The following is an 18511-nucleotide window of genomic DNA, read 5'->3' on the forward strand; positions in this document are numbered from 1 at the left end:
TAATATATGTAAATTGCTACTTTGAATCCTTTTCTGAAAGAAAGAAAGATTGAATCAAACTTACAAAAGTATGTATTGTGCCTGACACTTAGTATCTGGTGAACAAATGCTATTATCAAATGCTATTATATTTATGGAGACTGTAATAACCAGGATAGTCACAGCTGACAATTTTATACTATAAGATAATTTCACTAAATTTCCTTAAAGTGTACTTGCCAAAGAAAATAATGGAAATGGTTATCTAGAGATTTTACCAGAAAAAACAGTAAAACTTTTTTTATTAAAGGATCACTCAGATATTACCAAGTTTATCCACCAGGGGGAAGATATTCTGTCGCTCTACTGTCTATCAAAAAAAAAAAGTTACCACTCTTAAACATCACTTTATAGGCAGTCGATATCATTGCTGGTTGTTACCTGTTTAGTGAGAGAGAAGTCATACTAAGTCTTAATTCATTTCATATTTCTATTATTGATTAGATTAATTCTTTCTCAGCTCTTTACATCCTGGGTCCTGTTTTGAGGCTGCAGTCTTAATGGTAGTGAAATCTGATTTAAAAAGAATTACTTTTAATTGATGCATAATAATTGTACACATTAATGGTACACATGTGATATTTTGATACATGCATATCATGTGTAATGATCCAGTCAAGGTAATTGGGATATCCTTCACTTCAAATACTTATCATTTCATTGCTTTGGGAATATTCAAAATCCAATCGTCTGACTCTTCTGAAATATACAGTAAATTATTTTTAACTATATTCACCCCCTGTGCTATAGAATACTAGAACTTACTTCTCTTATGTAACTGTAGTTTTATACCAGTTAATCAACCTTTGTCTATTGCCTCCCTCCCACCCCCTTCCTAGCCTCTAGTAACCACTGTTCTATTTTCTGCTTCTATGAGACTTTTTTAGCTCTCACATATGAATGAGAACATGTGATATTTGTCTTTCTGAGCCTACCTTCTTTTACTTAACATAATGTCCTTCAGGCTTATCCATGCTGTCACAAATGACAGGATTTCATTCTTTTTTATGGTTGAATATTCCTGTGTGTGTATAAACCACATTTTTAAATCCATTCATCCACTCATGGACACTTAGGTTGATTCCATATCTTGGCTCTCAAGAATAGTGCTGCAATAAACATGGGAGTAGAGATATCTGATATACTGATTTCCTTTCCTTTGGATATGTACCCTGTAGTGGGATCACTGGATCATATGGTATTTCTATCTTTAATTTTTTTGAGGATCCTCCATACTGTTTTCTATAATGGCCATACTACTCTATATTCCCACCAAGAAGATACAGGAGCTCACCTTTCTCTGCATCCTCACCTGCATTTGTTCTTTTACATTTTTCATAATTGCCATTTTAATTGGGGTGAGATGATATCTCCTTGTGGTTTTAATTTGTATTTGTCTGATGATTAGTGATTCTGAGCATTTTTTTAATGTACCTGTTGGCCATTTGTATGTCCCCTTTTGAGAAATATCTGTGTAGATCATTTCCCCATTTTCAAATCAGATTATTTGCTTTTTTGCTGCTGAGTTATTTGAGCTTCTTATATAATCTGGATATTAATCCCTTGTCAGATGGATAGTTTGGAAATATCTTTTCCCACTTTGTAGGTTTTCTCTTAACTATGTTGATTGTTTCCATTGCTGTGCAGAATCGTTTTAGTTTCGTATAATCCCAGTTGTCTATGTTTGCTTTTGTGGCTTGTGCTTTTGAGGTCTGTAAAATCTGATTCTTCTTCAAATTTAGATTGTGTAAGTTTTGAAATGATCAGAAATAGGCTTAATAATATGTCTAATATTTGATGTTTTCTCTACTTAAGGGGGAAAACAGAAGAAAAAATATTGAAGCGTCTAGTAAATTCCAGCAGAAATTAGCTGTAATTAAAAGAAACAGAAGTTTTTTTTTCCTATTAAGTATTTAAAAGTGAATGTATATTATATATGTAAGGAGACTGCACTTTTAAAAATCTTGAATTTTTGAACAAAATTTTCAAGCATATACAAAACTAGGATGTAGTAGAATAAACTATCATGGACCCTTCACACGTCTTGACAATTGCCAACACATTGCCAATCTTATTACTTCATCCGCTTATTAATTTAGAGCAAATTTCTCACATTACATCATTTCATCTATTCCTTTCAATTTGTACCTGTAAAATATAAGGAACAACTCCTCTTTTAAAAGTACATGCTGTCATCATTTTGCTTAAAAAAAAGCAACAGTATTTCTTTGATATCATAAAATATCCAATTTGGCATTCATACTTTCCTTCCTAATAATCTTTTGTTTAAATCAGGGTCCACAGATTATCTATGAATTACAATATTGTGATTGGTTGATATGTTTCTTAAATCCCTTTTCATCTAAATTTCATACTTCCTTGCTCATCTTTTTTTGTAGTTTACAGTATTGGCTTTCAGACTTTTTGGTCTCAAGTTCCTTTTCACTTCTAAAAATGGTTGAAAGCTCAAAGAGGTATTGTTTTTATAGTTTATATATATATATTTGCTATATTAGAAATAGTTTAAACTATTTAAAAATAACAGTAAAACCAGTACATGATAGTATATATAAGCATAATTTTTATGAAATATAATCACAGTTTCAAGAAATGCATTTTTTAAACATTTTTGCAAATCTCTTTAATGTCTAATTTAATAGAAGATAGCTGGATATCTGCTTCTGCATTCTTGTTGCATTGGGTTGTTTTGCTTGAAGTATATGAAGAAAATCTGGTTTCATGCATGTATGAGGTTGGAAAAGGAAGGAATATTTTAATAGACTTTTCATTTAATAGTGAACATTCTTAGTTACCACACTAAAACTTGACAGGTGGTGGTAGTTTCTTAAAGATTATTTGCAGTGTGCAGTTTGGAACCTTACCAATGAACCTTATCAATTATGAATCATAATCTGTTACATTAAAATCTGTTGGGGCTAGGTGCAGTGGCTCATGCCTGTAATCCCAGCACTTTGGGAGGCTGAGGCAGGCGGATCACTTGAGGTCAGGAGTTCAAGACCAGCCTGGCCAACATGGTGAAACCCTGTCTCTACTAAAAATGCAAAAAATTAGTCAGGTGTGGTGGTGGGCGCCTATAATCCCCAGCTACTGAGGAGGCTGAGGCAGGAGAATTGCTTGAACCCGGGAGGCGGAGGTTGCAGTGAGCCTAGATCATGCCATTGTACTCTCCAGCCTGGACGACAACAGCGAAACTCTGTCTCAAAAAAAAAAAAAAAAAATCTGTTGGTCCATCTTGCACTTTAAATGGATCATTTACCTATGCATAATTTTGTACCATCATGTGTTGGTCATTTTGAAAATTTTGCTTAACCGAGTTAGGCAGATCTCCCAAGTGTTGACATATTTCATTATGAAATATTTTAAACATCACATCCATTACTATCACCACCCATCCACTGCCTTAGAAAAGTCTTTAGCCATCTGGAAGCTGGCAAGCCCATGGTGATGCTTGTAAGTGTTACAAAATCCTGATTTTTCTCTTGAAGGTTCAAATTTAATTGGCAGCTACAAATACTGTTAGTGTTTTCTTTCATGTGACAGGCCCACTTCATTAATTTTTGACAAAATATTTACCAGATATCCAAACCCGAATAAACATAGCTTGTTAAGTGAAAAAGGCATTCCGTTAAAAACCAGGAGCTTGCATCCATGGTACTTTGGCATGTCAAAGTACTTCCCATTTCATCACACAATATTAAAAAGATGTATATTCAGATATCAAGACTTAATAACATTTATTATTTTTACTTCATCAATAATGGTCTTTAGTGAAATTGACATTTATTTACTGTGCATGCATGGTGGGGAAGAATGCAATGGCTGCTACTACAGTTGTTGCCACTGCACCGGCAATTTTATCCTCTCTTGGTTTTGCACTATCAGTGCAAATGTCGACACAGTGAAGAAGGCAAAGAATGTGTGAGTATTTTTATGAAAATAGTTGACTTTTTGGACCTTTTGAAAGGGGCTCAGAGACCCTTGAGGAATGCATGCTTTGAGAAATGCTGCTAAAGAATTTCTGGTAATCTGGATTTTCTTCCTTATATCTTTGTGGTATGATTTAACAACAGGCTTTCTTTCTCTGATAGCTCCTATAAATAGACTTGATCAGATTAGGTTTGATTTTGTTTTTTCCTGGCAAGGCTACTTCATAGATGGTGTTGGGTTTGCATTCCTGGCAGCCATCGATGGTTGTTGCCTAGAACCATTAATTTATTAAAGGTTACAAATTATAATATTCTATCATTCCTTCTTCACTTATTAGCTGGAATTCTTTCTAAGGGGAAACTTTATCTGCCCAGTGATATGGTTACTCTAACATACAGATCACATTGGAAAGGCAGGATAAATCCATGTTTCCTTTTCCAAATAGTGAGTTGGTTTTCTTGAATCCTGAGAAGGTGATCAATGAGGTGTTCTTGGTTTATTTGTTTGCTTTGAATGTCATTATGAACTTGTGGATTTCAGTTTATCTGATGTGTTTCAGTTCACTGCAGCTAAAATTAGTAAGGATAGTAAGGATACTACTTTGCCTTTCTTTGGCCAGAAGAAAGGGGCCAGAAGAAGGGGCCTATTCAGGTTGGCTCTTGAATTCTTTGGATATGACTTCTGTTGTCTTTGATAGCTTCTTTGCTTTCTTGTTTGACAAGATGTTTCAGTTTCATCTTGGACATTTCCTGCTATTGAGCAGAAATCAGCTTCTTCTATGGGGAGAATTGTGAGAAATGGTATTTAGACACCACAGTCTGAAGCTAGACTGCTCATTACTGTTGATTGATGATTGTTTCTAGATTCTTTCAGTGGACAAAACTAGAAAATACACATATTTCTAAAGATAAAACACATCATGAATTCATACTGATACCTCCATTCAGATTTAGGAGCCATCAATCTTTCATCAGTTGTCTATGATACCAACATAATTACTTATTTGTTTTTCTCATGTTACAAAGACAACAGTCTTAGAACAACAGTATCAATACCACAACCAATGATGTGATTATGGAAATTTGTTTTCCAATTTTTTTAAAAAATGAAAATTAGAAATTTTATCACAATTTAGGTAGCCAAATTGGTTATCTTAACAGAGCCTTTTTATGGGTATTTGCTGTACATTTTGAGACTGTTTTCCTATTTCCTAGAATAACAAATTGGCAGATTATCATTTATCCATACCTACTTTTTTCTAGTGTCTTAAAACAGAAAACAAACTACTTACAGGCAAGGAATTCTATCCATATGGCATTATGACTTTTTGTTTTAAGTGAATATGCCTTGAATAAATGAATTTCTTTTGTTTATGAATAGAAAATGTTTACCATAACACTTTTTAACTAAGACATTTTTATTAATATTTTTTCTCTATACTTTTCCAAGGATCGTACTAGGAAAAAAGTGTTAATATTTTTGAAGTAGCTGTTTTTAGATCCAGGGATATGGGATATTGTGATCAAGAAAATTATGTAATTAAGGGAAACTGAACTAACGAGTACTAAATTAAAAACAGATTTCCATGTGGAATATTTAGTGATATGCCTTCTTTTCCCCTTTCAGGTTAAAAAATAAATCATGACTGAATCTGCCTCTAGCACAAGTGGTCAAGAGTTTGATGTGTTCAGTGTTATGGACTGGAAAGATGGAGTGGGCACGTTACCAGGAAGTGACTTAAAGGTAAACCCTCTTTATTACATACAATTATGTGTGTGTGCATCTGTGCGTATGCTTACTTAAAATTGGATACATATGTGAAATAAAAATTAAAAGCATTAATCATAGTGGTGTAGGTTTTAGATGATGCTTAGACCTCCACAATAAATTTGCAAGACAATTTGAAATGCTGATGGAATGGCAGAGCCTTTGTCACTTGGATAAGGGGAGTAAGGAATGTTTCTGCAGTATGTGCTTATTTCGCAGAAATTGATTTATAGTTTCAAGAAGGATCATCTCAGTTTTGACTCTTACCGTGACAGCCTATAAATGCAGAAATGGCAGACTTAGAAGAGCTATCTTTTTTGATTTTGTAGTAATGGGCTTTGTAACTTTAAGTGAATAGCCACAATCTCTGTGTCCTAGAGTTCTCATTTAAAAACTGGATAATGTTAAAGTATTGAATAAATAGGATTATTCACCTCTCTTAAATTAATTATACTGTAAATATGGATTTTTATATAATGACTTGTTCAAAATCGGGTTCTTCCTGTAAATCCGTCTGCCTAAGTATAGATGAGAACTCTTTGGAGAGCAATACTTCAGTCTGCTGCTTTTGTATAACCTTGCCCTGCCTCCTTTTCCCAGTAACCCCAAACCTATTCCAGGACCACTTCTGTTGTCCCATGAAACATGGTTGCGCAAGCACCGATCTGGGAAACCAACTACCCCCATCTCTCATTTCTAATTTGCTTTTGCTCTGATCCTATCTCTGGAACCTTGAACCGGTCTGTGGCCCTTTAGACTTTGTGTTTGCACTTGATCGTTCAGGTATTTGAACTTCACATCTCCCCAACAGGCCATTGCTGGGCTTACCTCTCAAATGTTTGGTATTCTAGGCTGTCTTGAATAGAAATTCTTGCTCCATTATTTAGGCCTCCTGGAATCTAGTCCCTTTTAGTGGCTGCTTGACAAGTATCCTAGCCAAGCCTGCCCTAGCTCATCCTCAGTGGTGAGATTGGGACAATCTGCCTGTCATTGGAAAAATACTTAGATTTTAGTTGGGTTGGGTTTAATTAAGTGTAATGTGCCAACACCTCTGAGTTTAGTTTAACAAAAATGTTGCACTGAGGTTTAGTAGAATCTGGAGAGGAGATTGGGTTTTCAGTTTTAGCTCTGTATGACCTTGAAAAAGCCAGTTAATCCCTTTCGGTCAAGTTTCCTCTGCAGTAAATTAGGAATTAATTGAATGCCAAGCGTTTTGCTTGCGCTGACATTCTCCAAATATTCATCTGGATAAGATATGACAGAGAAAGGTTGCTGAACATTTTTGAGAAAGAAAAACTGTTTCTCAAACTGGTCATGTCAACTACATAATAGCTACCCAAGCTTTGTCAAATTATTTCAATTGCCTAAGTTTTGGAAGCCTTATCTGTAAAATTGAGGACATTAGAATCTATGTGATAAGGTGGTTTTGAGGATTGAAAAAAATAATAGAGAACACTTAACAAATTGTATTTTTTCTGGCTTTGTGACTTACTATGTACAGTGCCATTTTTAATTGCTTTACTCCTTTATTTCCCTTGTGTGTTTTTATCCATTTTCCTCTCAATGGCTTTTTTTAAAAAAAACTGTCACGTGGATGATGAAATTTGTAAATTTTTTTCAGTTAGCTTTTAACAATAGAGTGAAGTTTCCATCCCTAAGAAATCTGTATTGCTTTAAGGTTTTCTAAGCAATGAGTTTTAGAAATTAACCTATTACTTGTATTAAGGTAATCAGGTAATTAAGCCATTTAGTGGGTATTATCATCTGAGTTATTTGATAATGACTTTCAGACCCATCTAATTATCTGGGTAATTGCCATGTATCCAATTCATGTGCTGTAGACAGTTTGATACCTCCCTTAAAAAATAATTTAAATGTCATTTTCTTTTACTTTATGACCCTTTTTATCTGAGATTCAGAGGTGACCCAATTGATTATATCACTGAAGATTTCTAATTCACTTGCTTCCTACTTAAAATCCAAGTTGCTTAAGAAATCTGATTAAGAAATTGATTTTTCACAAAATTAGGATATTAGAAAGAACTTTGAATGAATCATGAAATTTTCTCTCACTTCATTCTTTGCCTATTTTATCCTACCTAGGCTTCTATGTTTCAGTGGGTAGAGGCATCTAGATTTCCTAGGCTAAAGTTAATTCAGTTAATATAGTCAGCAAATCTATAGAAGTCAATTTCTTATCATGGGAACAGGTTTTTGTATGCCTCAATTTTTGCTGTTTTGAAATAACTTTTCCTGTAAAATCCCCATGATTGCTATCCAGTCAAGTTACACCCTTCTTCTTCACATTTTTTAGCAGTTGCCAGAATCTTTTTGGTGAAGTTCAAGCCCCTTAAGTTTACCACAAGAGTTTTTTGGTGGTCTGGCCTCTGCTTTCCTCTCTGGCCATGTCTCATTTCACTCCCACTGCCACTCTTGTTTTCTCCCCAGCCCAAACCACTAGTTGAAGCCTTCACACGCTGGGCCCTTGTTACTGTTCCCTGTTGCTGGAATCCCTTCTCCACACTGGGCTATCGCATGCTTATATAAACAGAGCACAGACATCTCTGGGTGCAGTAGGGGAAAGAATAGAGAACGTACTCTCTGCTGAACACTCTACCTGCATCTTTTTATTTAATTCTTTTATTTTACCCTTTTTAAGATAGTTTTTGTCTCGTCAGTTTACAGATGGGGAAATGGAGGCCTGGAGTAGTTAATTCACTTGTTTAGGTCAGTTACTGGCAGGGGTCTCAAAACCAGGCTTTTCTGATATTTAAAATGGATTATCTTACACCTGCTATACTGCTGTCTAAAGAGAGAAAACACCTTCATATCAAAAGAGATGCAAGGAAAATTTTACAGGAATTTAGAGGAGGTAAAAATTTATTTCAGCTGGAGGGATCAGGAAGGCTTTGAAAAGCAGATGTCATTTGAGCTTCAGGTGCCTGGAAATATGTAGGAGTCTCCATGAATACTTTAGGGAGGAAGGGAAGGAGAAGGGCTTCCAGAAGAGGGAGTAGCTTAAGAAGGTACAGAGTGTTAAGGGAGAAACAGCAAGTGTCCACTGACATTCTTGAAAATATTATAGTCATTAAAACACTTTTGCCTAAGCAAGCTTTGGAAACTTCACCAATGCCTAGTTTGTCCTTTTAAAATGCAAATTCGTATTTGTAGATTAATGTCTCAGCGCCAGCTGTAAGAACAGGGAGGTGACTAAGTGGCAGTGCAGAGGGACATGGTAGGGCTTCCCATAACTGAGCAGTTTCCCTACCTGAACTTCTAATGATGTCTGAAATTTACAGAGAATTATTCCTCTGGGTCATAATGTCTTTCGGAGTCTCTCAGTAAAATGCAGATACACTCCTGAGAGGACAGCATCTTATCTAGTAAGAATAATTGCCAGTTAGCCAAGAGCAAGACCCTGCCTGCAGTAGCAGGCAGAGACCCAACAGTAAAATTCACCGCACTCTTAATACACGGTTTTTGCCTTGCTTTGATTAATGTTGAAAACAATTTAGTTATCAAACATCTTTGCCCTTAAAACACACTGGTAAGTCGATTCAAATCTCAGCATTGAAGGTAATAAAATGAAAATAACCTCAACAGTATCTTCTAATGATTTATTATTAAATCAGGCAAATATAGGCAAAAGATCCTTTGACTCTACAATCAAAAATAAAAAAGAGAGTTGAATCAATTAAAGGTAGTTCAAGCCAAACAAAACATGTGCAGTCCCTTATATATTTCAGGCATAATTTTTTTCTGATTGACCTGGATATATCCACATGCAGAAAAAGTTAGCAGATGTGTTTTGTTTGCTTAATAGTAAATCCCTTTTGTAAAGTTTATAATTTTGACTTTCTTGGTTGTAGAGTGGAGCCACGTGGCAAGTTTTTTACATATTTTAGCTCTCTAGGTTAAAAGAACTAATGATTTAAAGAAATATAAACAAAGGTGAAATTTCCATCATTCCAAAACCATTTGTAAAAGCATCACTAATTTCAGAACCTGGGTGTTTTATTGGAAAACATAGTGTTAGGAAATGTATCAGTCTTTCTGGAATTCTGTCTGTAGGACTTCAGTAATGTTAGCAGGACCTATCAACCTTTGTGGTCTAACATTTTCTATCATAGCAATGTTGTGGAAGACACAGTAAGCCCAAATTGAGAAATCAGAGAAAAATTTGATCCCTGTATGTTTTTGCATATGACAGAATATTTTGAAAATGTTTTGAGGTATTTAATTTTTGAGATAAGCAACTTTGATAAGAGCAGGTATTCTTTATTTTTTTTTCAGGCTTATAGTATGCCTTGAAAACTATGAATCTTGTCCCCAGAAAGCTGTATATGCACATATCATAATTTTGCATATATTTTATGGGATTAATCAACCCTCAAAGTCCATCTGTGGATCTCTGGCTTACAAGAGTGAACTGTGCCCCGAAGTGACATTGCATCTTTACTTTGTACTTAGACTGTAGGTCAGTTACTGGCAATACATTTTAGGAGAAAGAAAAGCTGACTGGGATTGAAGGTTGCATCGTGGGAATCGTTCCTTTTAACTTTGAAAGTATTTGAACCTGAAGCTTCCAGGTGTCATAGTTCTGAGTTCTGACTTGAAGATTTCACTCAGTGATGTTTTCTTTCTCAGTCTTTGAAATGGAGGGTGGTTTGCTGTTTTACAGCAATTTGAAAACTTAAGCCATGGGAGACTTTCTGTTTAATGTAAATGTTTGATGCTATTTCTTACATTTTGTATTTGTCAAATAAGCATAAATTAACATCAGTGACATATGATAAAAGTAAAATTACCTGAAGTGCATTGTCAAGCTTGTGCCTATTGTTTTTGAATTTTAATTCAAATTGATTTTTTATCACATTCTTTAATATCATTAATTAATAATTATCATGGTAGTTTGTTTTTTCTGCTCTTGCCCAGCAGATGGTACTGTCAGCCTTATTTTGAAATATTCTGTCTTCAAAGTGATCATTAAAAACATTTTTTTAAAGATTTCTTTTTCTAAAAGTAAAGTTATTTTTAGCTCTTTTCCTTCTAAATAAACTTTTACCTCTTCCTACATTGACATTTTGGTATACACACTTGGTATAGTACTCACATATTACCTGGGAACTGGTATCTGGAATACATAGTAGGGTTCGAAGACATTCTCACATTCCTTAACCATTTCCACACGTTTAGTCTAGAAACCATTTAATAATTGTGGACTATGCATAGAACATTGTTTAAGGTGCTGTTTTCACCTGATAGAAAGAATAATTATTGATACTTTTTGTTGAAGAGTTTTCCAACTTGCAGTTTAGAATGTAGTTTAGTAAAATAAATAATTCTATTGGCGTGTTGACTAAATCGATTTTTTCGGATTGGCAAATGGAGGGCCTTGCTTAAATACTCATAATTTGCTCATAATTTCTGTGAAAGATCTGAAACATCTTACTATCCTTTTGAATTTTGAGCTTTCTAGCTTTTTCATCACCTGCTAAAATTAGTGGGTCCCTAATGTTATTCTGTTTTATGGAAAAACAGAAGGAATACAGAAAACTGCTTGAAACCCATGAATGTGTGAGTAAACCTCACTGTTTCAGAGAGAACAAGGTCTCCACACGTAGGTAAGCCTTCAACACACACACACAGTACAACCAGGTTGTTGTAGAAACATACTTTATTTGAAGTGTGCTGTCAGGTGAAAGGAAATTTTCAGTATTTGGAATGGAATGTCCATGAAATCAAGATGCTGTTGCTTTTTAGTGATAAAATCAGCATGTAGCTAGTAGACTACTTGTTCAGGTCCCAGAGAAATTTCCAGTTATTTTAGAGGGCTACAAGTGAAGATAATGCAGAATTCTAAAGAGCAGTGAAAGAAAGAGGAAATGTGGCACTGGGGTTATGTGGTTCAGGCTTCAGCCTTCTGTGCTCACTTCTTGGATTGTAAGGAGAAGGATGTTCAGGCCATTATTTCTGGCATAGGGATATTCCTTCTCTCTGAACTGGGTGAGCCTGGGCAAGACAAGTTGATTCCTGGGAAAAGAGTAATTCTCCTTTTACTAAACGTGATTTTTAAATAAAAAATACGACGTAAGAAAAAATAAGTCTTAGTTAAAACACACACACACACACACACACACACACATACACACACAAAGTGTGTTTGAAATGATAGCCTATCAAGTAAGCTGCCAGCTCTATAGGACAGGGCAGAGCAGGGTCATTGGTATCCTTCAACAGACCTTGCTGCTTTGTTCTGTTCTCCTTCCTTGAATTCCAAAATTAGTAAAATGCAAAGGTCTTAGTATTGGTGGGAGGTGTATCAGGATATAATTGTCTAAATTAACTTTTACCATGTAATTAATTTGCTTGAAGACTATATGTGTCAGCCATTAAATAATTAATGACTTTCCTGAGCACTTTTTAAATTTTGCCTTTCTGCTGTGTTGTTGCTAGTTTCGGGTAAATGAGTTTGGAGCCCTGGAAGTTATTACAGATGAGAATGAGATGGAAAATGTTAAAAAAGCAACTGCTACCACCACTTGGATGGTACCAACTGCTCAAGAAGGTAAGGATGGGTCATCTGCATTTTATTTCTTGCTTTTGAAAGATTTGAAATAAGAATATCTAAAGTTTTATAATAGGCTGGAACTTTGAAGGCCCCGGGTAATTTTTGTGCCTCATGTTGTTAGGTAAATTTCTATAATGAAACTGATAGGAGCCAGCATTTATGTTTTAAAATAACTATAAACTGTCTTCTTTGTCCTAATGCCAGATCTGTAGTAGCACAAGGTTAGTTGGAAATTAAGTAAATCCATGTTGTAGCCTACACAGGTGATTTAGCCAAAAGCCTGCCACTTTTTTTCTCATCTACTCCGATGGTTGTAACTAACACCTATATGCTGATGACTCCTAAATCTACATCTCCAGCCCCGACCTCTCCCCCGAGCTCCAGGCCCGTATTTCCACCTGCCTACTGGACATCTCCACCTGGATGTCCCACAGGTACCTCAAACTCCACATGTCTGAAATGCAATTCATTTTCTATTTCTTTCTCCCCTCCCCACAAACCTGCTCTTTCTTCCCTAACCCATATTTCAGTTGACAATAGCACCATCCACCCAGTGGACAAGCAAGAAACACAGGAGTCATCCTGAATTTGTTCTTCCCATCCCCATATCCTGTTACTTATACCTCTTGATTTTTATTTCCTAATATGTCTCAGATCTGGCCTTTTCTATCTATCATCTTTGCCATGGCCTTAATGTAGGCTCTTCTCAACTCTCATCTGAACTATTGCAGATGTCACTCTACTTCTAATTTTACCCCCTTCCAATTGGTCCTGCACCTTGAAGCCAGAGGAACTTAACGTAGATTGCTTATCTGACACTTCACTGATTTCTCATTGCCTTTTTAGCAGAACATACAAAGATCTGGGTGCCTGCACCTACCTGCTCGCCTTGTCTCCTCAGTCTCTGTTTCCTTCTTTGTATGTTGTGTTCTGGCAGTGCCAGCAGCACAGAATTACGTGTAATTTTCCCAACACATCATGTGGTTTCATGCTTTCTTGCCTTTACTCATACTGCTTTTTCTGGCTCAAATGCCATTTCTCTCTTTGTCCAGTTGGTAAATTCCTCTTTGGCCTTCAAAACCCTGTTGAGGCTTTCTATCAGAAAATCCTTCTCTGACCTTACCCCAGGCTGAATGAATCACTTCTTCTGTACTACTTCTGGACCTTGTTTATGCCTCTAGTATTGCATGTATCACATTTTATTATAAATACTGGTTTTCTTGCCTCTCTTTTCTTCTAGACTGTGAGCTCTCTTGGGCAAGGTCTCTACTGTCATTATTAATGTCTAGAATAAATTGGTGCCTAATAACTGCTGGCTGAATGAATGATTAGCCTAACAATTCAGGCAAAAGGAAATGCGAGTTTCTACACAATTTGGATAGCTATGAGTCAGGAAATGTACTACATTGAAAGCGTAATAGAAGAGATGTTGATTTAGCCAATTAAGTAAAACAAAATCATTCATCAAAAGATTATAAATGTGAAATAAAAGAAGATCCTCTGAAATTTTCTGAAAGATACAAATATAGAAGAAGTTTCTATAGATCGATATATGCGTCTTCTGAATTTAGTGACTAGTGAAATTTTCTTCATTTTACTTTGAACTCTGTAGAAAAAGCCTTGGGCAAGCTTTTATCCTTTCTGCAGAATATTTTTTCATTATTTGAATGACTTGAGTGATTTTTACAGAGCCCATACCCCCCGAAAACACTATCATTTGATCATTCATTCATTCAGCAAACACTATTCTTTATTGTGTTGCTAACAAAATTATTAGAAGAAAAAGTTTGATTGTATTTTAGAATGTCTTCTGTCATGGTTGTAATTTGCATTTCTTCTTTTCATCTTCTAGTCTTTTCAGAGAAGACTGGGATGCCTTTCAGGTTGAAGGATCCAGTGAAAGTAGAAGGGCTTCAGTTCTGTGAGAACTGTTGTCAGTATGGCAACGTAGATGAGTGTCTTTCTGGAGGAAACTATTGCAGCCAGAATTGTGCTCGGCACATCAAAGATAAGTAGGTTTTTGCCCCATTCCATCTATAAATTGAGTTTTAGATTCCAAAGTCATGGTGCCTGAGAATATAGAAGTTTTATGCTCTCGGACATTGATCACCTATTGATACCTTTTTCCCAGAGACTTTTCCTTTAGGGCCACATGGGCCCTAACCCCTATATGGGACCTGGTGACGTCTGTCATGCCTGGTCTGAGTTGTATTACTAATATTCTGCCTGCAAAACAGCCTCTGCCTCTGCCTTCAGTCTTCCATTTCCATTCATTTGATTGTCTTCAGCTAAGAGTATTTAGTTTTTTCTGGGCTATATACACATTTCGATGACACTGACATTTATAGAAACATAGTTTTGTTTATATTTTGGGAATTCTTAGGTAACTCGGTTAAAACTCCACCTACGGCATAAAGCTTCCACTGATTCGTAATCAGCTGAATGGAAATGGCCATAGGGAAGAGTGTAGTGAGTTGGGTCACTGATGATCTCAAGGTGTGGACTGAGGATTATGAGACAGAGGCATCAGCTGTAACTGGTAGTGGTGTGTGACCTTCCCATTTGGGGACAGTCTGACAAAGTTCAGCTTATCACCAAGAAGGTGTTTTTCTTGCATATCATTGTATACTACAAAGAAATGACTGGACATTTATATTTTAGTGGCATTTCCCATGTATTTTAATCAGCACAGGCTTGGGAAATGTTTTCTTTTTCTTTTTTTTTTTTTGAGATGAAGTCTTGTTCTGTCGCCAGGCTGGAGTGCAGTGGCGTGATCTTGGCTCACTGCAACCTCCACATTCCCAGGTTCAAGCAATTCACCTGCCTCAGCCTCCCGAGTAGCTGGGACTACAGGCGCACGCCACCACACCCAGCTAGTTTTTTCTATTTTAGTAGAGACGGGGTTTCACCATGTTAGCCAGGATGGTCTCAATATCCTGACCTCATGATCCGCCTGCCTCAGCCTCCCGAAATGCTGGGATTAAAGGTGTGAGCCACTGCGCCCAACTGGAACTGTCTTGTTTTTCTTGGATAACTGATGTTTCACAATGTTACACTTAGCCTTTTTTCAATTGGATTTGTCATTCTTAATAACTGCTAGATCCTTCTTTGACCCTGAAAACAAATATCTCTAAATAATCAATTCTTTTATTAGTATAGATGGTAGATGTGACAGACAAATAACTTGTTAGAACCTATTTCATACATATTGCTGGCCCCCTTTTGAAATTAATATATAAGGTAATTTTCATTTTCTGCCCTGACAGACAGATGTCATATGTAATAGTTGTTTTCAGTGTTCCTGATATATGATATTCTCATGCCTACAGATTTCTCCTGGTAGTTAAAGATTTTTCCTTTGCAGGGTGATTTTTTTTTAATGATTGTTGCATTGATAATCAACAAGTAGATGTTTGATAGGTATTGTCTCTTGTCACTATTTTGGGTTTATAAACACAACAGAGATCAGAAGGAAGAAAGGGACGTAGAAGAAGACAATGAGGAAGAAGATCCTAAGTGTAGTCGGAAGAAAAAACCAAAATTATCTCTGAAAGCTGACACCAAGGAGGATGGAGAAGAGAGAGATGATGAAATGGTGAGTGCCTCTGCCTGACACCAGGAGCACAGGGATGCATCTTTAGTGGGTAGCATCACAGTCACAAGCACTGCTCTGGAGCCCACTGAGTTCAAATGTGGGTTCCAGGACTATCTGTGTTAGTGTCAGTAAGTTACATGGCCTCTGTGTGCCTTGCTGTCCTGATCTCAAAATGGGAATCATAAACAATAGTATCCTTCTCTCAGGGTGAAAAAGTGGGATGTCCTGAAATTTAGTGCTAGGGTGAAAGGGAACATTTAAAAACCTTCAGTCTTGTAGATGAATCTTAAATTCCTCTTGACAACACAATGCCAATCTCATTTCTTTAAATTGCAGACAGATCTCATAAAACTATCTGAGTGGGCTGGGCGTGGTGGCTCATGCCTGTAATCCCAGCACTTTGGGAGGCCGAGGCCGGCAGATCACGAGGTCGGGAGATCGAGACCATCCTGGCTAACCCGGTGAAACCCCTTCCTTACTAAAAATACAAAAAATTAGGTAGGCGTGGTGGCAGGCTCCTGTAGTCCCAGCTACTCGGGAGGCTGAGGCAGGAGAATGGCGTGAACCTGGGAGGTGGAGCTTGCAATGAGCTGAGATTGCACCACTGCACTCCAGCCTGGGCGACAGAGCGAGACTGTGTCTCAAAAAAAAAAAACAAAAAAAACTATCTGAGTGGTTAAAAAATGGCACACAAATATCAGGTATATTTGGGGAAAAGCCATTCAAAATGTGTGAATTAAAACATAAATATCATATTCCTAAAGGCATCTATTAATGGTTTTATAGGAAAAGGGAACTTTGAGATCTGGAAGTGTTTCCGTTGAGATCGGTATTGTACAACTGTTACTTGGGAGTCACTGTTCTAGGAGCTGAGAATACAGGGATGCATAAGACAAATAGATGACATAGAGTCTCTCCTGGCAGAGACACTGCATTCTTGTTTAGGGGGTAGTTAATCTACAAACAAAATGAACAGGAGAAATGTCACCTAGTGATAAGTGCTACGTTGAGAATTAAAATAGGGCATTAGGATTGGCTGACTACTTTAGGTTGGGTTGTCAGGGAGCCCTCTCAAAGACGATGGCATGAACAGTGTGATCTGATGAATGAAGAGGAGTCAGCTATGTGAAGTTGAGAGTGAGGCGTCTTCTGGGTAGTAGAACTTCCAGAGGAAAGTCCTTAAGGTAAGAACTTGCACAGCATGTTTTGTTCGAGGAAATAAAAGGAAGTCTGGTCACTGGTTTAGGAGAGGGTGGAGTAAGATGAAGTTGAAGAGGTACCTGTGGTCCAGGGCATGTAGGGTTTTATGGTAAACAAGAGTCGAGGGTGTTCATTGTATTCTGAGTGTCAGGGGAAGCCTCTGGAAAGTTAAGACAAGGGAATGCTTTGATATGATGTATGTTTTAAATGACCACTGTAGCCCTGAGTGGAATCAGGGAAACCAGTTAGGAGTTTATTGCAGTAGACAACGTAAGAAGGCTGAAGATGATGGAAGTCCGTGGATTTGGGAATCAATGTTAGAGGTAGGGTTGTCAGAGTGTGTGAGGAAAAGAGAAAAATCAGGGATAAAACTTTGGCTTTAACAATTGGCTGGATAATCCTGTCTCTTACTGAGAATGGGAAGATGAGGGTGGAGTGCAGAACACAGAGTCCTTTGGCCATGATGGGTTTGAAATGCTGATTAACCATCCAGGTGAAGATCCCAAGTAGGCATTTGTCTACAGCCACATGGAGTAAGGAAGAGGAAGCTGAGGGTGTGGATTGGGAGTATCTGGCCTATGTAAGATGACCTTGAAAACCCAGGGAAAGGGACTAGAAAGAGTAGAGAAGGGAACTGGATTGGAGGAGACATCAGCAGAGGAGACAAAGAGGAGCCAGTAAGGCGTGAGGAAAATCAGAGCAGAGCGGTCACGCAGCTGAGAGCAGAAAGTGTTTCAAGGAGCGGGGAGCGGTGTCCATGCCCTTCCAACCGGTAACACGTGGATACAGTCTTATTTTGTAATAACCTCAGGCCAAAAGCAACAGTTTTCAGATGAACTATATTCTTACTTTCCTTAAAAGTTACAAAGTAAAACTGAAGAAAAGAACAACAGAAAAAGTGCTTTCTGATAGCTCTCTAACTATTCACTGGTGCCAATTTCTTGAACTTTAAAGTCATAATTTTCCTTTCTTTTTGTAGGAGAACAAACAAGATGTAAGAATCCTGAGGGGTTCGCAGAGAGCACGGAGGAAAAGACGAGGGGATTCGGCTGTACTAAAGCAGGGTGAGCTGATGAAAATAAAGTCTTACTTGTAACTTTATGAAATTGGAAATGGTTCACACAGGTGGAAATTTTAGTCATGCCACTTAAAGTATTACTTCAGGATTTTCTTTGATTCAGTTTGGTCAATAAAGATTTGAGATTTTGAGGATAAGGAAAAAAATGAAAATTCTTAACTTTCAAGTGGTTTCAGGGTAAGCATGAGAACTGTCTTCCTCCCTCCCTCTCTCCCTCCCTCTCTCCCTCCCTCTCTCCCTGCCTCTCTCCCTGCCTCTCTCCCTCTCTCCCTCCCTGTCTCCCTCTCTCCCTCCCTTTCTCCCTCCCTCCTTC

At 37.1% G+C, this 18511-nt stretch overlaps 1 protein-coding gene across 22 annotated transcripts in view; it reads left to right on the plus strand.

Annotated features, from left to right (window-relative positions):
* Nucleotides 1-18511, plus strand: part of L3MBTL3 (L3MBTL histone methyl-lysine binding protein 3) — a 122858-nt gene that overhangs the window by 18491 nt on the left and 85856 nt on the right. For 8 of the 22 annotated variants that reach the window (XM_047419407.1, XM_006715576.4, XM_047419401.1 and 5 more), the window contains exons 3-8: nucleotides 5614-5730; nucleotides 12211-12322; nucleotides 12580-12759; nucleotides 14178-14337; nucleotides 15788-15920; nucleotides 18100-18184. In XM_047419407.1, the coding sequence (XP_047275363.1) occupies nucleotides 5629-5730; nucleotides 12211-12322; nucleotides 12580-12759; nucleotides 14178-14337; nucleotides 15788-15920; nucleotides 18100-18184 (772 nt within the window). In that variant the 5' untranslated portion in view covers nucleotides 5614-5628. The remainder of the gene's footprint in view (nucleotides 1-5613; nucleotides 5731-12210; nucleotides 12323-12579; nucleotides 12760-14177; nucleotides 14338-15787; nucleotides 15921-18099; nucleotides 18185-18511) is intronic. The other 14 variants (XM_011536184.3, NM_032438.4, XM_011536181.3 and 11 more) reach the window with 2 other exon arrangements.

The sequence above is a fragment of the Homo sapiens genome, chromosome 6 (assembly GCF_000001405.40).
Source record: "Homo sapiens chromosome 6, GRCh38.p14 Primary Assembly".
Classification (NCBI taxonomy): domain Eukaryota; kingdom Metazoa; phylum Chordata; class Mammalia; order Primates; family Hominidae; genus Homo; species Homo sapiens.